The 19495-nt window shown below is 36.3% G+C and overlaps 1 protein-coding gene and 1 long non-coding RNA gene across 5 annotated transcripts in view, besides 1 other annotated feature; one reads left to right on the top strand and one right to left on the bottom strand.

Annotated features, from left to right (window-relative positions):
• FGF12 (fibroblast growth factor 12) overlaps positions 1-19495 on the top strand; it is a 588152-nt gene that overhangs the window by 155269 nt on the left and 413388 nt on the right. The window lies entirely within an intron of this gene.
• On the bottom strand, positions 640-5272 carry LOC124906319 (uncharacterized). Of its 2 annotated transcripts, none has more exons than XR_007096220.1 (3): positions 5102-5272; positions 4649-4758; positions 640-866 (listed from the first exon to the last, which is right to left on the bottom strand). It is a non-coding gene; the product is annotated as an uncharacterized LOC124906319 (long non-coding RNA). The 2 variants fall into 2 exon arrangements; XR_007096219.1 differs by having other exon boundaries at positions 640-860.
• Positions 5242-5291: an enhancer, noted in NCBI's record as "active region_20991". NCBI's record gives its function as "activates an Ori minimal core promoter by ATAC-STARR-seq in GM12878 lymphoblastoid cells {active_cell/tissue: GM12878}" and the evidence as "EXISTENCE:reporter gene assay evidence [ECO:0000049][PMID:35858748]".

Below are 19495 nucleotides of genomic sequence, written 5' to 3'. Positions count from 1 at the left end.
ATAATCATTTGGAGGAGGCTGTCAGTTTTATGTTCCTGGAGGATGGAAGAAGTGAAAGAGCTCATTTTCTTCAATTAAGTCTCTTTCGAGAAGAAATAAAAAACAAAGAGGAAGGAAAACAGAAGTTGTGTTTATTAAAAGCTTCCATCCAGGATCTGGATTACTATGAGAAGGTTCGTGATGGGTCCTAGTTTCCTAAGCCTCAATATTCTGATTTATTCATTGTTCACTAAATTGTCCATTGTATACTAGGCACTGTGGATAAGTCAGAGATGTATGAGGATTGCTAACACTCGTATATTACAACTAAAATTAAAAAAAAAAAAAAAACAGCAATAGTGCTAAGGACCACTATATGGACCCTCAGAAAGTTCCCAGGAGGGGCAAAGACTCCTAAGCTCTGGGAAGACCTCTAGGAGGCATGGGCATTGTGAGATCGAGATAGATTGAACACCCAGATTGCTGCTGGGGCTGCTGCTGAGGAAGTTGGTGATGTGGCTTTGAGTGGGGAAGAAGCAGCTGCTCGGAAGTTGCTCGCGTTGCTGCTTTGGCGTTTGAGGAGCAAGTGCAGGATCTTGCAAAAGCTAAATTGCTGCCCTGCCCTGGGGGAGCAACCTTGACACAGGACAGATTCAAAAGCACAGTCTGACAGATTTATTTTAAGAAGGCCCGAGAACCCTATCAAGATGTTATCTTCTAATAAGTTGGATACTGAAAGCTTTTGCTTTCTCGGATGGAAAGTCTGGACCCGGGCAGTGGGTCCCGTCCGCCCCGTGGCACCTTCTGCCTGTTGATGCCGCGCTGCTCGCGCGCTCCGTCGCTCTGGCAGCGATCCCGGTACTGCATGAGTCAGTTTTGCGCTGAACCTCGGCATAATGGAGGAAGGTGCTATTTTAGGATAACAGGCATATGATCAGGGTTTTTTTGTTTTGGTTTGGTTTTTTTGTTTGTTTGTTTTTTAGGGGGCAGATTTCACAGACCGCGATGTTTGCAGAAAGAGCGATCCTCCAGAATTCCTCCCTTTCTGCTACAGCACAGAAAACGATTTCACGAAGTCATTGTTGCCTTTCCAGGAGAAAAGGTTTCACATTTGACATTGACAGTCCATTAACTGTGTTAACAGCAGTAATTGCTTTAGAGCAGTTTAATGGAAGATGTTTATGTGTGGCTAATAAGGTTTGTTTTTTCCCCCCAACACCAATGTAGAAATGAAAGCAGAGAGGAATTGGAAAGGTGTGGAGAAGCTCTGAAGAATCAGAAGGTTAATGGAATCACGGAACCCTAAATGAATAGAACTCCCCGTCTGTTTCCCCTCCCTTTTCCATTACTACGTCATTTACTTTCCTAGCCTTGCTAGGACGGATGCCAGAAAGTGAGCTTCCAGCTTAGAATAGTTATTAAAAAGGGATGTGCTAAGGTTATAATCTTATTTTTTATTTAGTTTTATTTTTTCTTATACATATTATTACTGTTACAGTGAACTTTTTTTGGTAATAAGCCAAAATCAATAAAAATATTTTATGAAAAGATAAAACAATGTATGGATGTGTGTGTGTGTGTTGATTTCCAGGATTGTGAAGTTTGGGGATCTGCATACTACTAGATGTGCTGTAGACAATATGGTGCTATGAATACAGCAGATGTTATTCTTATGTCCACATGATGTACACTCTGGTATGTTTTCTGTTTCATAAATCCAGCTAACCAAATTTGGGGAAACTTCCAGACTCAGTCCTTAATTAGGCTGAGAGATCAAAGGTGACTATGATGAAATCCCCACCTCCAGACACATCATAAACCTTTATCTTTTATAGTGTTTGTGCCAGCCTGTCTCTTTTTTTCTCTTTGGCAATATCATTAATCACATATTTGGACTACCAGATTTGCATGTTTTTCCCCAAGTATTTATCTGTAACTAAAATCTTTTTTTGATAAGTTTAACATACATATGCCTAAATGTCTGCTGGAGCTCTCTACTTGGATTTCCATAGGCAACTCAAATTCAGTATGTTCAAATCCAAACCACCTATGGCCCTCCCCCCCATGGAAAACAAAAGCAAACAAACACAGCTAGCCTGATGCTTGTATTACATCCCTGTCTTGGTATATGGCACCTCTGTCTTCCTCCTTGCTCAAGCCTGGACCTTGCTAATCATATTCTGTCCTCTTTTCTTTTTTCTTCATCCTAACTATTCACTCATTTATTAAAACCTATAGATTCTGGTTCTTACTTGCCTTTGGAACTTCTGCCTCCTTGCAGTCATCACTGGCACTTTTACGGCACTGGCTCAGTGTAGGGCCTTATCTTTTCTCTTCCAAAAATTGTCATAGCAGCGCTAGTATCCTCACATCCTTAGTCCTGTTCTTCCCCAATCATTGTTTTATACACATATTTCTAAAGCATAAATATGAGTCGTGTTTTCCCTATTGCAACCTTCCAGTAATTCCCTGTTATCATTAGGATAAAGTCCAAACTTATTTGTATGGCACATGCGTTTCTCAATAAAGAAAGTGTAAGATCTGGAATCAGACAGATCTGAGTTCAAATCCTCATTCTGCAACTTACCAGTTGTGTGACTATGACTAACTTCTCTATATCTCAATTTCCTCTTCCGTAAAATGAGAATAATTTGGTGGCTACCTGCGATAAATCTTACTTCAGTTCCCCAATACCTGCTTCTCCTCTAATTTTGGACATTATCTTTCCCTGGCCTTTGAAGTTAGGTGTGTACAAATGACTTGCTTGGCAAAAGAAATGTAAGCACAATAGCTATATGTCACTTCTGTGTATAAATATTTAATTACTGGTACTGAATTCTCCAGACGTTCCTTTGCTGAATGTGAAAACATAGGAATACGAGGGTTCCTTAGAAATTAAGGAGATAGAATGCTGAGGCTACACACAGAAGACAACTGTCCTGAGGAATGACTCAAATCCACAGCAGACTATGTGTGGATGAGAAATAAACATTCATTAGATGAAGCAACTGATATTTGAGGGTTGTTTGTTACCTCAGCACAGCTTAACCTACACTGACATTCTACCACAAAGGCTGTTATGAGAAATTATATAATATACAAAGGCATATGCTATGATGCTTGGCCCCAAAGCAAGTGTTCACATAAGATTATCTTTGCAGACAATATTTTTTTTCTACCTTTCATCGCTGTACTTTATCCAAGGCACTTAACCAGTTGGTTTCACATTTTAGCATCTTTAGACATGGTGATTATTCCGCATGTACTGTTTTCTCCTGTTTTGCTCAGCTAATAACATTTATTCAACTTTGGAGAACCAACGTAAGTGTGCCCTTCATAAGTTGGTCTTTTATGAAGGACACCCTTAAGTTGGTTCTCGAAGGTTGAATAAATGTTATCTCATACCTGAGTCTACCCATAGCCTAGAGTGGTCACGTGGGCTCTATGCTCATGTATGCAAAGGATCTCTCCTTACTGCTTGAACACTACCTCACAGTGATAACGTTATGTATCTGTCTCTCCTACTGGGTTATGGATTTCCTGGCAGAAGGACTCTGTCTTGCCCATCTCTATAGTCTCAGGATTTATTAAATATCCACAATAGGCAGATATTTAATAAAACGTAAAAATTAACAAAAACACTCTCAAAACTAATGAGGGAGATAAGATAGCTGATTCCACTATAATATGACAAGTAATTGGCAGAAAATATGAATGCTTTCATTTCTCTGAAGCCTTACTGTTCATTTCCTCTTAGACCAAGAACGCTTTTGACTGTGACCATTGGCTGGTCTAACTCTCTTATTTTACAGGTGAGGAGACAACCCAAGGAGAGGATACAGCAAAATGGTGTCAGATTTTGGAGCAGAGATCAGATATTATTGCTCTATGGCAACTAAACACACGGAAGGGTAGGAGTCCATAATGTGTACATGCATGAGCTCCCCACTGGCAGGAGGAAGTACAGTCACAAGAGCACTACAGTGGGTTGAATGGTGGCCTTAAAAGATTTCCCCGTGTCTTAAACCCTGGTAACTGTATATGTGATCTTATTTGGAAAAGGGATCTTTGCAGATGTAGTTCTGCAGATGAAATCAATCCAAATTATCTAGGTGGACCCTAAATCCAATGACAAGTGTCCTTATAAGAAACACATGCAAAGGGCGGGGCATGGTGCTCACACCTGTAATCTCAGCACTTTGGGAGGCCCAGGCAGGCAGATCACCTGAGGTCAGGAGTTCAAGACCAGCCTGGCCAACATGGTGAAACCCCATCTCTATTAAATATACAAAAATTAGCCAGGCATGATGGCTGGTGCCTGTAATCCCAGCTACTCGGGAGGCTGAGGCAGGAGAATCACTTGCACCTAGGAGGGGGAAGTTGTAGTGAGCCAAGATCGCGCCACTGCACTCCAGCCTGGACGACAAGAGCAAAACTCTGAAAAAAAGAAAGAAAGAAAGAAAAGAGAGAGAGAGAGAGAAAGAAAGAAAGAGAAAGAAAGAAAGAAAGAAAGAAAGAAAGAAAGAAAGAAAGAAAGAAAGAAAGAAAGAAAGAAAGAGACACATGGAGAAGACCATGTAAAAATGGAGGCAGAGATTGGAGTTATGCACCACAAGCCAAGGAAGGCCTGGCATTAACAGAAGCTAAAAAGTCAAGAGAGGATTCTCACCTAGAGCTTTTGGAAGGAGCACAGCCCTGTGGACACCTTGATTTTGGACTTCAGACCTCCAGAAGAGTTGTTTTAAGCCCCCAAGTCTGTAGTGGGTTTTTAAAGCCGCCCTAGAAAATGAATGCAAGCACCATTTGGAGGATACATGCTTTTCCCCCCAGGCATATTTCTCTCCAGTTAAGCTTTCTATAATAATCTCTAAGAAAATTTTTAGCCTTTGTTACTTAAAAAAATAAAGCCCTTTCCCTTTCCTTATCTTTTCCCTTTTTTTTTCTCCAACTTCGGTGAGGAATAACTTACAGCCCCAACCCCTTAAAAAATTCCCAGTTCTATTAAAAAAGCCTTAGATTTTTTTCCCCACTAAAGTTGAAGGTAGAGTATTCCCATTCATATTATATTTCCCCAGATCATATCCTAAAAGAAACAACGACAAAGTTTTGATCTTTGTCTCACCTTTGAGCCTCTGAGGTGCTTCTAGTACCTGGAGTAAAACTTCCATCTTTATCCTCCACACAAAGCATGATCCTTTTCCTGTTGACTTCTCAGAGTGGTGGTAAGAAGTAGACGAGAGAAAGTATCTGTGGGAGTTTTGTAAAGTGTGAGGTGCTGTGTGGAGATAATGTTACTAGCATTACAGCTGCTGACTAATATGTATGAACTCAATAGAGAATAGACGGAATCTGAGAATTCAGTGCATAGCACCCTCTAGGCCGCCGGCTCTTGCTGCTTGTACCCTATACTTTGCTGCCATCGTGTGGCCTTTCTGGTAGTTGTTAGTGTTGTTGGTTCTTATATTTAATAGTTTTAGCCATAAATTTTATAATTATAAATTTTCAGGGTAAAAAGTAATTTTTATTTTAGAAAAATACTGGTCATACAACTGTGAAATTGTTCAGTGTCTATGTTCTTGTTTGAGGGAAACTAGGAGATGGTTTGGAAATACCATTTGAAATATTATGACGGACAAATCTAGAGATTAAAAGACTGGGATGGGCCAAAGAGACAACAGACAGTGTTGTAGACTTTAGAGAAACAAAAGCATGTGCCCTATCCAGGGGCATCCATAAAATACAGTTATTTGAATTCTAACATTTCCTGCAAATTTTCCCAGGCTCTCCACAGGTAGTCTCCAAGTCTTTTTAGCTTCTTTTCTCCAATATCTCTTTCATTTATTCTATACTCTCCAGCCTTATGGCTATTGTGTATTTGAGGCCTTTGTTTCTTTCTGTCTGGATCATTTTAATACCTGGTCTTCCTATCTCCATGATCTCTTATTTTTCTTTTATCTTGCACATGCTGCTAGAATGATTTTCATGAAGCACTATAGAAAGAGTACAGAGCAGTGATTGAGAGTAAAGTCTGAGGCCAGATTCCTTGAGTCTGAAACTGAGATCCCTCAATTTGGCTCTAACTAGTAGAGCGATTTGGTAACCGGAGGCAAGTTACTTAAATGCTCTTTATTTCAGTTTCCTTACCTATGAAATATGATACTACTAATGCCTGCTTCATATGCAGTCATGCCTCTCTCTTGCTTTTTTGAGACGGAACTTCGTTCTTTTTGCCCAGGCTGGAGTGCAATGGCGCAATCTCGGCTCACCGCAACCTCTGCTTCCCGGATTCAGGTGATTCTCCTGCCTCAGCCTCCCGAGTAGCTGGGTTTACAGGCATGTGCTACCATGCTCGGCTAATTTTGTATTTTCAGTAGAGACAGTGTTTCTCCATGTTGATCAGGCTGGTCTGGAACTCCTGACCTCAGGTGATCTGCCTGCCTCAGCCTCCCAAAGTGCTGGGATTACAGGCGTGAGCCACCATGCCCGGCCCAGTCATGCGTCTCTTAATGACAGGGATATGTTCTGAGAAATTCATTGTTAGGTAGTTCTGTCTTTGTGTGAAAATTGTGGGGCATACTAACACAAACCTAGATCATATAGCCTACTATACAACTAGGCTGTAGTGTATAGCCCACTATACAATAGGCTGTATGCTGTTGCCTGCTATTCAACTAAGCTGTAGGGTATAGCCTATGGCTCCTAGGCTACAAAAACCTATACAGCATGTTACTGGGCTGAATACTACAGACAACTGTATTTGTGTATCTAAACATATGTAAACAAAGAAAAGATACAGTAAAAATATGGTATTATAATCTTATAGGACCACTGTACTATTATGCAGTCCATTGTTGACTGAAACATTGTTACGCCATGTGTAACTTTATTTCTGACACAGATAAAATGAGCGAATTCACATCAGTGCCTATAATTTAGTGTTCAACTAATATTTGCTATTATTAGCACTCTGATAGAATGCAAATTATTTTGAATGCAAGAATTTGATTTGTCTTAGCATCTTCAACTTCACCTATCACTTTTAAGTTGTAGTAATTTGATAAGATTTTTAAACATATAGGTGAAGGATCACTAAGCTTTAAGCCAGTTTATTTCTTGGAACTCTCATTATATTACCAAAATATGCTTAAAGTCATCTCATGATTTGTCTATGCATTAATCAGAGAATTTTCAAACTTGCTAAATTTTTAGTTAATAAACAGTGATTAATATTTATTGAGCATTCACCAAGTGAAAAAGCTCTGTTCAAAATGTTTTATGTAGATAACCTCATTTAATACACACAGTAGTTTTGAGATCAGTAGTAATGTCAGCATTCCTATTTTATGTAGAGGAAACAAAGGTGTGGGAAAGTCCCACAGCCAGTAAATGGAGAGTAGATTAGAACCAATGCAATTTGTCTCAAGAGCTTACATTCTTAAGGGAATTCTGTGCTATAAATACATTCTCCTCTAATCTTTCATTTCAGTCCTGAGATGCTGTTTCTGAATACCAAAACACAGAAACATTTAAAAAATTCCAAACCCAGTGGAATGCAGAATGTCAAGCTCATTGCTGCACTGAAGCTACATCAACTTGCTATAGCCCATTTTGGGAACAGTGCTCCATGTGATCATGAACTGTGATCACTGGTTTCTGTTGCACTTGGATTTCTTTAAGTGTGCAGATGGTGTGGAGACCCCAAAGACCAAGTATTTTAAAGCTTGTACAGTAGGAAAGACAATGATTCAATTCCAAAAGCAATTCATTAGACATATCACATATCACCTGCTGCCTTAAATGCTGGCTTGTGTTGGAAAGTCTTCCTGAGAATACTGTCCCCGAAGCATAAAGTGGACATGAAAAAATGTAATCCCTGAGGTAAGTGGAGCATCTGGAACTTCTAGATGTTCCAATAAGACTACACATGGTCGGCAGGGCGCAGTGGCTCACTCCTGTAATCCCAGCACTTTGGGAAGCTGAGGCAGGCAGATCACCCGAGGTCAGGAGTTCAAGACCAGCCTGCTCAACATGGAGAAACCCCGTCTCTACTAAAAATACACAAATTAGCCGGGCATGGTGGCGGGCGCCTGTAATCCCAGCTACTCAGAAGGCTGAGGCAGGAGAATCACTTGAACCCAAGAGGCGGAGATTGCAGTGAGCTGAGATCGCGCCACTGCACTCCAGCCTGGGCTACAGAGGGAGACTGTGTCTCAAAAACAAACAAACAAACAAAAACAAAAAACAAACAAAAAAAAACAAAAAACTACACATAGTCTAATTTTAAGCCTTGGTGCCTCCTAATATATGGACAGGTTGAACACTGAAAAATGTAGGCATACCAAATGGTAATCATCCATTGATAATAGCACATACCTATGTCTTGCAATACACTTTTCTTAGGCTTGATTTGAATTAATGAATTTAATCCTCATAAGAAGTCTATGATATAGGTATTCTTGTCATCTCTATTTTCTCAGATTGGAGAACTGACAGAGAGGTTAGGATTTCAAATCAGGCAATCTGGATCCAAAGTTCAAGCTTTAACTACTAAGGAATACTACTTATCATTGTGTTTATCTATTGATAATAGCAGAGTTAAATATCATTTTATTAATTATGTAGAATTTCTCTCTTTGTTTCAGGACACTAATGATACATCTTTGCTGACAAAGCACTATGTAATTGTGTTCATACTTTTAAACTTGTCAGCTGCTAATGAAAATGCCATTCTCAAATATTATCCTTCCTCATTGGATTTAGCTTGATTTTTTTCCTCTTTAGGGAGTACAATTGAAACTACTCTGGCTCTCCTCAGTCTCCAGTATTAAATCATTGGCAGCAGCTGGTAACAAACTAGGAGGAGGATGGGATTGTGTGTGCAAGTCTTCATTGTTTGAGCAAGTGGTGAATGTGTGAGTTGTGAGCTTGGGGGCATAAAGAGCCTGGTGAACCATCTGCACCCAGAACCATTAAATCTTGGGATATGAGAGATATTAAAGATTGGATTGTCTAGCCATTCATCAAATGCTTAAAATTTGTGTCTATTTACCTGTTTTCAGTTTATACAACTTTTTAATAATATTCCATTAATCTTGGATAGATCTAACTTTGTTATTTTGAACTGAAATTGCTTTACTTTTAACTTCAACGGTAGGTCCCAGTTCTAAAGCTCTCAAAATCACATAAAAAAGTCTAATCTTCTTTCATGGCATATAAAAGCCACTTATACGTCCAGTATGAGTCTTCTCAAGATCCTTGGAGTCTTTCTGTGATAGCACTTTGAGTGTCCTTATTACCCTGGTCATACTCATGTGGCAAACAATGTGTCTAAGAGTATGTAAGCCAAACAGTGTTGGTTTCAGTATGGGAAATCCGTGTGAATGCTTGATAGAGAACGTTCAGGATGAACAATGACAGTGTGAATAAGAGAGATAATTGTTTGCAAGAGAAGCTTAGTGGATGAAACATAGCTTCTCTCATAGCACAGTGAAACATTGCGCCACTGCACTCCAGCCTGGGCAAAAGAGTGAGACTCTGGCTCAAAAAAAAAAAAAAAGTCTCAGAGGTAGGGTTAGTATCACCCAGAATTTATCTTCTGTACCCAAATTTCCATACTAGTTGCCATAATGAAGAGTATACCTATTTACTGATTACAAATATGTTTTATTGAAGATAATATAAATTCACAGCAATTATTTGTCCCATGGCGACAAGATGGCCTATATAATTTTTTTATTTATTAATAAGAGCTGTATCTAGTACAATTCTACTTCATTGTGGGTTTTTTATTTCAATCAAATTTTGAACTTTACTGAAGAAATCCCTTCATGTTTTTCTTATTATTTACTTCATGCATTTATGAAGTAAAAATACATGCATTCTTTGTGTTTCTATTGTCTAATTAAAAATTTAAATGCAATAAAATGCAGAAAGTTTAAATGTGTAATTTATTGAGTTTTGTTAAATTAACCTGTATAACCAACACATTCATCAAGACATACAACATTTCACTTGGGAAAATTTCTTCACATCCCTTCCAGTCAGTCTCTTCCCCACCCACCCACAACCAATTATCTAATTTTTCTCATCATAGACTTGTTTGGCCTAATCTTGAATTGCATATAAATGAATTTTTTCAGTCTATACTATTTTGAAACTTCTTCCTAAACAAAATTTCTGAGATCCATCATGTTGTTGTGTATCACTAGTTAATTATTTAAAATTGCTGAGTATAAGGTCTATTGTCTAAGTATTCCATGGTGTATTTATTTGTTTTTATTTTGGTAGACATTTGAATTATTTTCAGTTTTTTACTAACTTGAATAAAGCTTCTGGAAATATTCATGTACAAGTCATTTTCTTTTTTTTTTCTTTCTTTTTTTCTTTATTATTATTATTATTATTTTGCCATGTTTTAACTTCTCTTGTGTAAAAACCCAGGAGCAGAAGTACGGGGTCATAGTGTAAGCTCTTGTTTAACTTTATAATGAACTGGGAAACAAATTTGCAAACAATCTGATACTATTTTAAGTGACATTTCTAGAAGTATTATTTTCTAATCGTTTGTAACATAGTACACTCCCAATGTATGAGAGTTGCAGTTGGTCTGTATCCTCACAAATAAATAGTATTTTCCAGGCACGGTGGCTCACGCCTGTAATCCCAGCACTTTGGGAGGCCGAGGCGGGCGGATCACAAGGTCAGGAGATCGAGACTATCCTGGCTAACACGGTGAAACCCCATCTCTACTAAAAATATAAAAAATTAGCTGGGCGTGGTGGCGGGTGCCTGTAGTCCCAGCTACTCAGAAGGCTGAGGCAGGAGAATCGCTTGAACCCAGGAGGTGGAGGTTACAGTGGGCTGAGATTGCACCACTGCACTCCAGCCTGGGTGAAAGAGCGAGACTCTGTCTCAAAAAAAAAAAGAAAAGTGAAGTTTCTCACCATCATTTTAATTTTCATTTCGCTGAAGACTAATGATGTTGATAACTTTTCATGTACTTATTGGTCATTTGTATGTCCTCTGTTCTGACGTGCCTGTTCAAATATTTTGCTTATTTTAAAATTTGTGTTGTCTTTTTATTATTGATTTGCAGAATGTGTGTTTGTGTATATAGCTGTGCGTGTGTTTGTGTGTGTGTATATATGGCATATATATATGTTGGTTACTCCCCGCTTCCCCTTTCCCTTATAGATTTTCCTGTTCTGGGCATATCAGATAAATGGAGTCATGTAATATGTGACCTCTTGTGACAGTCTTCTTTCACTTAGCATAATGTTTTCAAGGTTTGCCCATGTAGCATGAGTCAATACTTTATTCCTTTTTGTGGCTAAATATTTTGTTGTATGCATGTACTATATTTTGTTTATTCTTTTTAATACTCTGCTAGGTTTTGTTTGCTAGAATTTTATTACTCTTTCACATCTATGTGTATGAGAATATTAATTTGCCTTTTTTTCAGTAATAGGTTTGTTAGATTTGTGACAGGTTTTATTTCTTCCTCTAATTTAGGAAAGAGTTTGTTAAAATTAGCATTCTTCTTTCTTTAATATTTAATATATAGTTCAGCAGTTAAACCAACCAGGCCTCCAGCTTTCTCTGTGAGAAGGTTTTTAATTTACAAATTAAATTTATTTACCAGGCAGAATTATATTTATTTTCTTCATTTTTCCTTTCAATTTTTAATTCACGCTTTTCAAGAAATTAATCCTTTTACCTAATTTGAATATACTAACACAAGGGCATGTATAATATTTGCCCATAGAATCTACAATGACATGCCATCTTTTATTCCTAGTATTGGTAATTACTGTTTTTTCTTTTTTCATCAACAGTACCTATGTTAGGGTTTAACCATCTTATTACCTTTTTTTACAAAAACACTTTGGCTTTTAAATTTTCCAATATTGTTTGTTTTATATTTTGATTTTTGCTCTTTATTATTTTTTTATTTATTTGAGTGTAATTTTCTCTACTTTTTCTATCTTCTTAAAGTAATCCTTAGATTATTGATTTTAATTTTTTTCAAATATAAGAATTTGAATCTCATATATTTCTAAGACTTAGTTAAACTGGATCATACAAATATAGAGTGATTTGTTTTCGTGAACATACATTTTCAGAAATTATCTAATGTGCCTTGTTGTTTCTTCTTTACCTTGGGTGATTTACAAATGTGCTGTTTCGTTTCAAAATATTGAAGATTTTCTTCATCTTAGTGAATTTTAATTCAATGCCATTGTGGTCAGAGAACATACACTGTAAAATTTCAATATTTTTAAATTTATTGCTACTTATTTTATGGTATATCATGAATGAATCTTGAACATTTTTAGCATTTGAAAGGGATGTGTGTTCTGCAATTGTTGCAGTAGTGTCCTATAAATATCAATTAGGTTAAAATGGTTGAGATAGTGCTGAAATCTTCTACTTACCTACTGATTTTTTTAATTCATTAACGAACTTTAGTTTTTAGAGGAGTTTTAGGTTCCCAGTAAAATTGAGTGGAAAGTACAGAGAGTGTCTCTATATGTCCCTGTCCCCAGACAGACACAACCTCCATTACTATCAACATCTCCCACCTCAGTGGCACTTTTGTTGCAATCTATTGACACATCTTTTTTTTCTTCTTTTTTTAGTTTTATTATTATTATACTTTAAGTTTTAGAGTACATGTGCACAATGTGCAGGTTTGTTACATATGTATACATATGACACATCATTATTAATCAGTGTTCTACATTATGGTTCTTGCTTAGTGTTGTACATTCTATGAGGTTTGAAAAATGTATAATAACATATATACACCATCATAGCATCGCACAGAATTGTTTCATTACCCTAAAAATCCTCTGTGTTCTACCTGTTTACCCCTCCCTATCCCTACCTCTTGATAACCACTCATCTTTTTACTATTCCCATAGTAACATTGAGCATGTTTTCATACACCTATTGACCATTTATATGTCTTCTTTGGAGAAATGTCTACTCAAGTCCTTTGCCAATTCTTAAAACATTTTAAAAAGTGGGTTATCTGTTGGTTTTGCTATTGAGTTGAAGGGGGTCTTTATATATTTTGGAATTAACTCTTCCTCAGATATATGATTTGCCAATATTTTTTCTCATTCTTTAGGTTGGCTTTTACCTGCAGATTGTTTTCTTTGCTGGGCAGAAGCTTTTTAGTTTGATGTAGTCCCATTTGTCTATTTTTGCTTTTGTTGTCTGTATTTTCAGCGTCAAATTAATGAAATCCTTGTGAAAAGCGATATGAAGATGTTCCCTAATGATTTATTATAAGAGTTCTATAGTTTCAGATCTTGCATTTAAGTCTTTAATCGACTTTGAGTTTATTTTTGTTTATGGTGTAATATAATGGTTCAATTTCATTATTTTGATGTGGATATTCCATTTTCCCAACACTATTTGTTAAAGAGACTATTGTTTCTCCATTTTGTAGTCTTGGCACTTATGTCAAAAATCATTTAACCAATATATACATATGGGTTTGTTTCTGAACTCTTTATTCTATTCCATTGATCTATATATCTGTCTTGATGGCAGTACCAGATTGCATTGATTATGTTGCTTTGTAATATGTTGAAGTCAGGAAGTATGAAGCTTCCAGCTTTATTCTTCTCTCTCAAATCATTTTGGCTATACAGTGTTTTGTTGTTGTTGTTGTTGTTTATTTTTTGGTTTCATATGAATTTTAGGATTTTTTTTCCATTTCCACAAAAAATGCCAGTGGGATTTTGATAGCAATTACATTAAATCTTTCGGTCACTTTGGGTGGTCTCGACATTTTAGCAATATTAATTTTTCCAATCTGTGAACATGGGATGTCCTTCCATTAATTTGTGTCTTCTTTAATTTCTTTCAACAAAGTTTTGTAGTTTTTAGTGTACAAATTTTTTACCTCTTCAGTTAAATTTATTCCTAAGTATTTTATTATTTTTGATGCTATTGTAAATGGAATTATTTTCTTAATTTCTTTTTCAAATTATTTGGTATTAGTGTATAGAAACACAAATTATTTTTGTTTGTTGATTTTGTATCTTGCAGCTTTGCTGAATTTATTATCTCTGTTTTTCTGTTTGTTTATTCTGATATGCACTTTAGAATTTTCTCTATATGCAATCATGTTATTTGAGAACAGAGATAATTTTACTTGATCCTTTCTGATTTTGTTGGATTTTATTTATTTTTTCTTACCTAATTACTCTAGCTAAGACTTCAAGTACTATTTCAGTTAAATAGAAGTGGTGAGACTGTGCATTTTTGCCTTCTTACAGATCTCAGAGGAAACATGTTCAATTTTTTACCATTGAATATTATGTTATCTGTTGGTTTTTTATATATAGTCTTCATTATGTTGAGGTAATTTCCTTCTATTCCTAGTTTTTTGAGTGTTTGTTAAATGAAAAAGTGTTGAATTTTGTCAAATACATTTTCTGCATCTATTGAGTTGATGATGTGGTTATTACCCTTCATTTTGTTATTATGGTATATCACCTTGATTGATTTTTGTAAGTTGAACTATCATCACATCTCAGGAATATATGTTACCACCTGGTAATAAATACATGATTCTTTCAGTGTGCTGTTGAATTTGGTTTGCTAGCATTTTGTTGAGAATTTTTACGTATGTATTCATTGGGAATATAGGCCTATAATTTTCTTTCTTTTGGTGTCTTTGTTTGTCTTTGCTATCAAGGTAATGGTGTCCTCATAAAATTAGTTTTGAAGTGTTCCCCTCTCTTCAATTTTCTACAAGAGTTTGAGAAAAAATGATATTAATTCTTCTTTAAGTGTTTTGTAAATAGAATTCATAAATGAAGCCATCTAGTCATGGGCTCATCCTTTTTGGAAGACTTTTTGGTGCTGATTCAATCTCCTTACCTGTAATTGGTATTATTTTATGTCTGTGGCATGAGTTGTAATGTCACCTCTTTCATGTCTTTTTTTTTAGACTTATCTGTTTTTTTCATACTCTGGCTAAAGGTTTGTTGATTATCTTTTCAAAAAAAAATTCTTAATTTTGTTGATTTCTTTCTATTGTTTTTCTACTTGTATTTTATTTATTTCTACTTTAATCTTGATTATTTCCTTTCTTTTGGTGACTTTGGGCTTAATTTGTTCTTCTTTTTCTAGTTATTTCAGGTATACCATTAAGGTTTTTATTTGAGGTTTTTTTTCTTATTGCAGGCATTTACTGACATAAAACTCCCTCTTACGGCTGCTTTTGATGCATCCCATACATTTTGGTATGTTGTGTTTTCATTTTTATTTGTCTAGCAATATTTTTAAGTTTCCCTTTTGGCTTTTTCTTTGACTCATTCGTTGTTTATCATTCAAGGGTGTGTTGTTTAGTTTCCACATATTTGTGAATTTTTAAGTTTTCTTTCTGCTTTTAATTTCTAGTTTCAATCCATTGTGATTGGAAAAGATACTTCGTATAATTTTAATCTTCCAGGAGCTCAAACAACCCTATAGGAAATAATATCCTTAAATTTGTTAAAACTCCTTTTGCGACCCAACACGTGATCTATCCTGGAGAATGTTTTGTGTGCACTTGAGAAGAATGTTTATCTTCTGCTGTAGAATGTTTCTTACATGTCTGTTAGGTCCATTTGATAAATAGAATTGCTCAGCTCCTATTTCCTTATTGGTTTCTTCTCTGTATGTTTGGTCCATTATTGAAAGTGGAGTATTGAAATCTCCTATTATCATTGTACTACTGTCCATTTCTCCCTTCAGTTCTATCAGTGTTTGCTTCCTATATTTGGTTGCCCATATTTTGGGTGCATATATATTTATAATTGTTGTCTCTTCCTGGTAAATTGACATTTTAATCATTATATAATGTCCTTCTTTGTCTCTTATAACAGTTTTTTACTTGAAGTCTATTTTGCCTTAAATAAATATGGTTACCATGATTCTCTTTGCTTATCATTTGCATGGAAAATCTTTTCCATCTCTTCACTTTCAGTCTGTGTGTGTCCTTAAATCTAAAGCAAGATTTGTTTATATCTTATAGTTGGATCTTTAAAACAAAAACAAACATTCAGCCACTCAATGTCTTTTGATTGAAGAGTTTAATCTATCTATATTTGAAGTAATTTCTGATAGGGAAGGACTTATGATTGCCATTTTATTAGTTGTTTTCTGTCTATCCTGTTGCCTTTTGGTCCTCCTTTCTTCTCTTGTTGTCTTCCCTTGTGTTTTGTTGATTTTTTTTTTAATAGCAACATGCTTTGATTTATTGCTCACTTTCTTTGGTGCATCTTTTATAGATACCTTTTATTGTGTTTACCAAAGGGCTTACATTAGACATTTTATAGTTGTAACAATCTCTTTTTAGCTAATAATTTCAATTGTACACAAAAACTGCCCTTTACGTCTCCTCCCCATGGTATCAGTGCCATCAGTTGTAATGTCTCCCCGTGCACACACTATGCTATAGATGTCACAAATTACATCTTTTTTTTTTTTCCCCGAGATGGAGTTTTCCTCTTGTCATCCAGGCTGGAGTGCAATGGCATGATCTCGGCTCGCTGCAATCTCCACCTCCCGGGTTCAAGCAATTCCCCCACCTCAGCCTCCCGATTAGCTGGGATTACAGGCACCTGCCACTACACCTGGCCTTTTTTTTTTTTTTTTTTTTGGTACTTTTTAGTAAAGACAGGGTCTCGCTATGTTGGCCAGGCTGGTCTCCAACTCCTGACCTCAGGTGATCCACCCACCTCAGCCTCCCAAATTGTTGGGGTTACAGGTGTGAGCCACTGTGCCTGGACAATTACATCTTTTTATATTGTGTATTATCATGTTTTTATTGTCATTTTTTGTACTTTTATCTTTCAATTTCTACACCAGAATTAAAAGTGATTTATGCACTACTTTTATAGTACCATACTATTCTCTGATTTTCTATTTACCTTTGCCATCTAGCTTTAAACTGATAGTCTTATTGAGCCTCCCTTGTATGTGAAAGTCACTTTCTCTTTTGCTGCTTTCAAAACTCTCTCATTGTCTGACTTTTGACAATTTGATTACAATGTGGCTTGTTATAGATTTCTTATATACTAGTTTTATACGAGTTGAAGTCTTTTGGTATTCTTGAATATGGATATTCATTTCTTTCCACAGATTTGGGAAGTTTGGGCCCATTACTTCTTCAAATAATCTTTCCTTCCCTTTCTCTTTCTCCTCATCTTCTGAGACCCTCATATTGCATATAATGAACACCTTGATCATGTGCCATAAGTTTCTTAGTCTTTCTTTACTCTTTTTCATTCTTTTATTCTTTTCTCCTACTGGATAATTTCAATGACCTGTCTTTGAGTTTACCAATTCTTTGTTCAGCTAGATCAAATATGCAGTTGAACCCCTCTAGTAAATTTTTCAATTTAGTTATTGTATTCTTTCATTCCAAACTTTCTGGGTGTTTAAAAATATTTTATTTTTGTTGATATTCTCATTTTATTCATGAATTCTTTTTTTTTTCCTTAGCTCATTGAGCATCTTTATAGTAGCAATTTAAAATCTATTTCATGTAATCTCCATACCTTTGTTTCTTTGGGTTCAGTTTCTGGAGATTTATTTTGTTCCTTTTATTGAACCATGTTTCTCTGTTTATTATGTGCCTTATAACTTTGTGTTGGGATCTCTTCATTTGAAAAAATAGCCATATATATCAGTTTTTATGAACTGGCTTTGTATAGGAAAAGATCTTTACCAATCAGCCCAGCTAGATATTCTAGAGAGCTTCTCAAACTTTTCCTATGGATGCCTCTTCTCTGGACTTGTGCATATAAATTCATTAGAGAGATTTGCCAGTTTCTTTTTTTAAGAATTCATCATCTCTTTCTCCCTCTAATGTGTCTGTTTGTGTTCTTTGGAGCTGCCACAAGGTGCCTAGCTCTCTTTTGCTCTCAGTGGCTTCTAGTAAATGTTGGGACACATCAGTGCACTAAGTCCGAAGACACAGAAACAATTCCCCCCAGAGAGCTCCCTGAAAAGCCAGACCACTAGAGGCATACTCTACTCTTCTCTTCTGGCATGACCCCACAAAGGAGAGACCACCAAATGGCATAGGCCTCTGTCTGTTGTATGTTATCAGTAGCAGCAGCAATCTGCCCAGCTCTATTTTGTCCTCTGTGCCTTGCAAGTACATAGAGTATTCGAGGTCCCTCCCATCCATCCTCCAAGACAGGCAAGACAGAATCTAGTCCTTCGGGCAGTCCCTTGAAAGTTCAGAATTTTGGACACACACTTTAACTCTTTCCCTCCACAGGGATAAGCCAGGAGTTGAGGCTTCTTTTTCTCCCTACTCATTCTGCACTGAGCCAGAGGGGAAGGGTATAGAATTTTGGTGAGCGAGTGTTTGTTAGTCTAAACCATTACTTTTGTTTTCAGTGGTCCCCAACCTGGCCCTTTTGTTTTTCTGTGCTTAGAGTCAGGCAGGAGATAAACCAGTTCCTTGGGCAGCACCGCAAAAGTCTGAGTTTTGGATGTGTTTTAGTCTTTTCGTTTCCTCCCCAGAGAGAAGCCAGGAAATGGGAGTTTTCTCCGGATTGTACAACTCTGAGCCGGGGGTTGGGGGGACTATGGTGTATGAGTGACACGAATTTTCTTACTGGTTTCAATGCATTTGGCTTCATATTTGCCTGAGGTTCAGGAACCTCATAACTGGTTTATGGGTTTCTAACAAGGGACATTTGTCACTGAATTGCTGTTAAATGGTGTCCTATGAGGGGAAAGAGGTTCTGGGCTTCTTATTTTGCCATCTTGCTCTTCTATTGGCTTTTTAAGCTGTGCTGCTTTATTTATTTTTAGCAGTTGTATGGGGATTAAAATATGTATTCTTAATTTATTATTACTTACTTAGAGTTACCATTGTAGTATTTCATATAAAATGTAAGAACTGTATTATAATTATATTTATACCCTTTTCCATCTTTGTGGTATTGCTGTTATATATTTTTCTTCTACATATGTTATAAACCCTACAATATAATTTCTTTTTTTTACTTTGACTAGTAAGCTGCATTTTAATGACATTTGTAAAAGAAAAAATAGTTTCTTTATATAGATTCATATATTCAGCACTTCTAATTTTCTTCTTTCCTTCTTGCATATCTGTGCTTCAATCTGGTATCCTACTTCAGTTTGAAGAACCATTAATAACAAATTATTATAGCGTATTTTTACTGGTGACAAATTTTCTCAGTACGCATTTATTAAAAATGTTTATTTTATCCTCATTTTTGAAGTATTTCCACTGACCGTGGAATACTGGCTTGACTTTAAAAAACTTTCAGTACTTTACAGCTGTTGTTTCAAGATCTTCTGGCATGTATTTTTTTCTTTTTTTTTGGTTTATGTTTTGTTTTGTTTTTGTTTTTGAGACAGAGTCTCACCCTGTCACCCAGGCTGGGGTGCAGTGGCATGATCTCGGCTCACTGCAACTTTTGCTACCCAGGTTCAAGCGATTTTCATGCCTCAGCCTCCGGAGTAG

The sequence above is a fragment of the Homo sapiens genome, chromosome 3 (assembly GCF_000001405.40).
Source record: "Homo sapiens chromosome 3, GRCh38.p14 Primary Assembly".
NCBI classification, from domain to species: Eukaryota; Metazoa; Chordata; class Mammalia; order Primates; family Hominidae; genus Homo; species Homo sapiens.
This window is presented reverse-complemented; position numbering and strand designations above follow the sequence as displayed.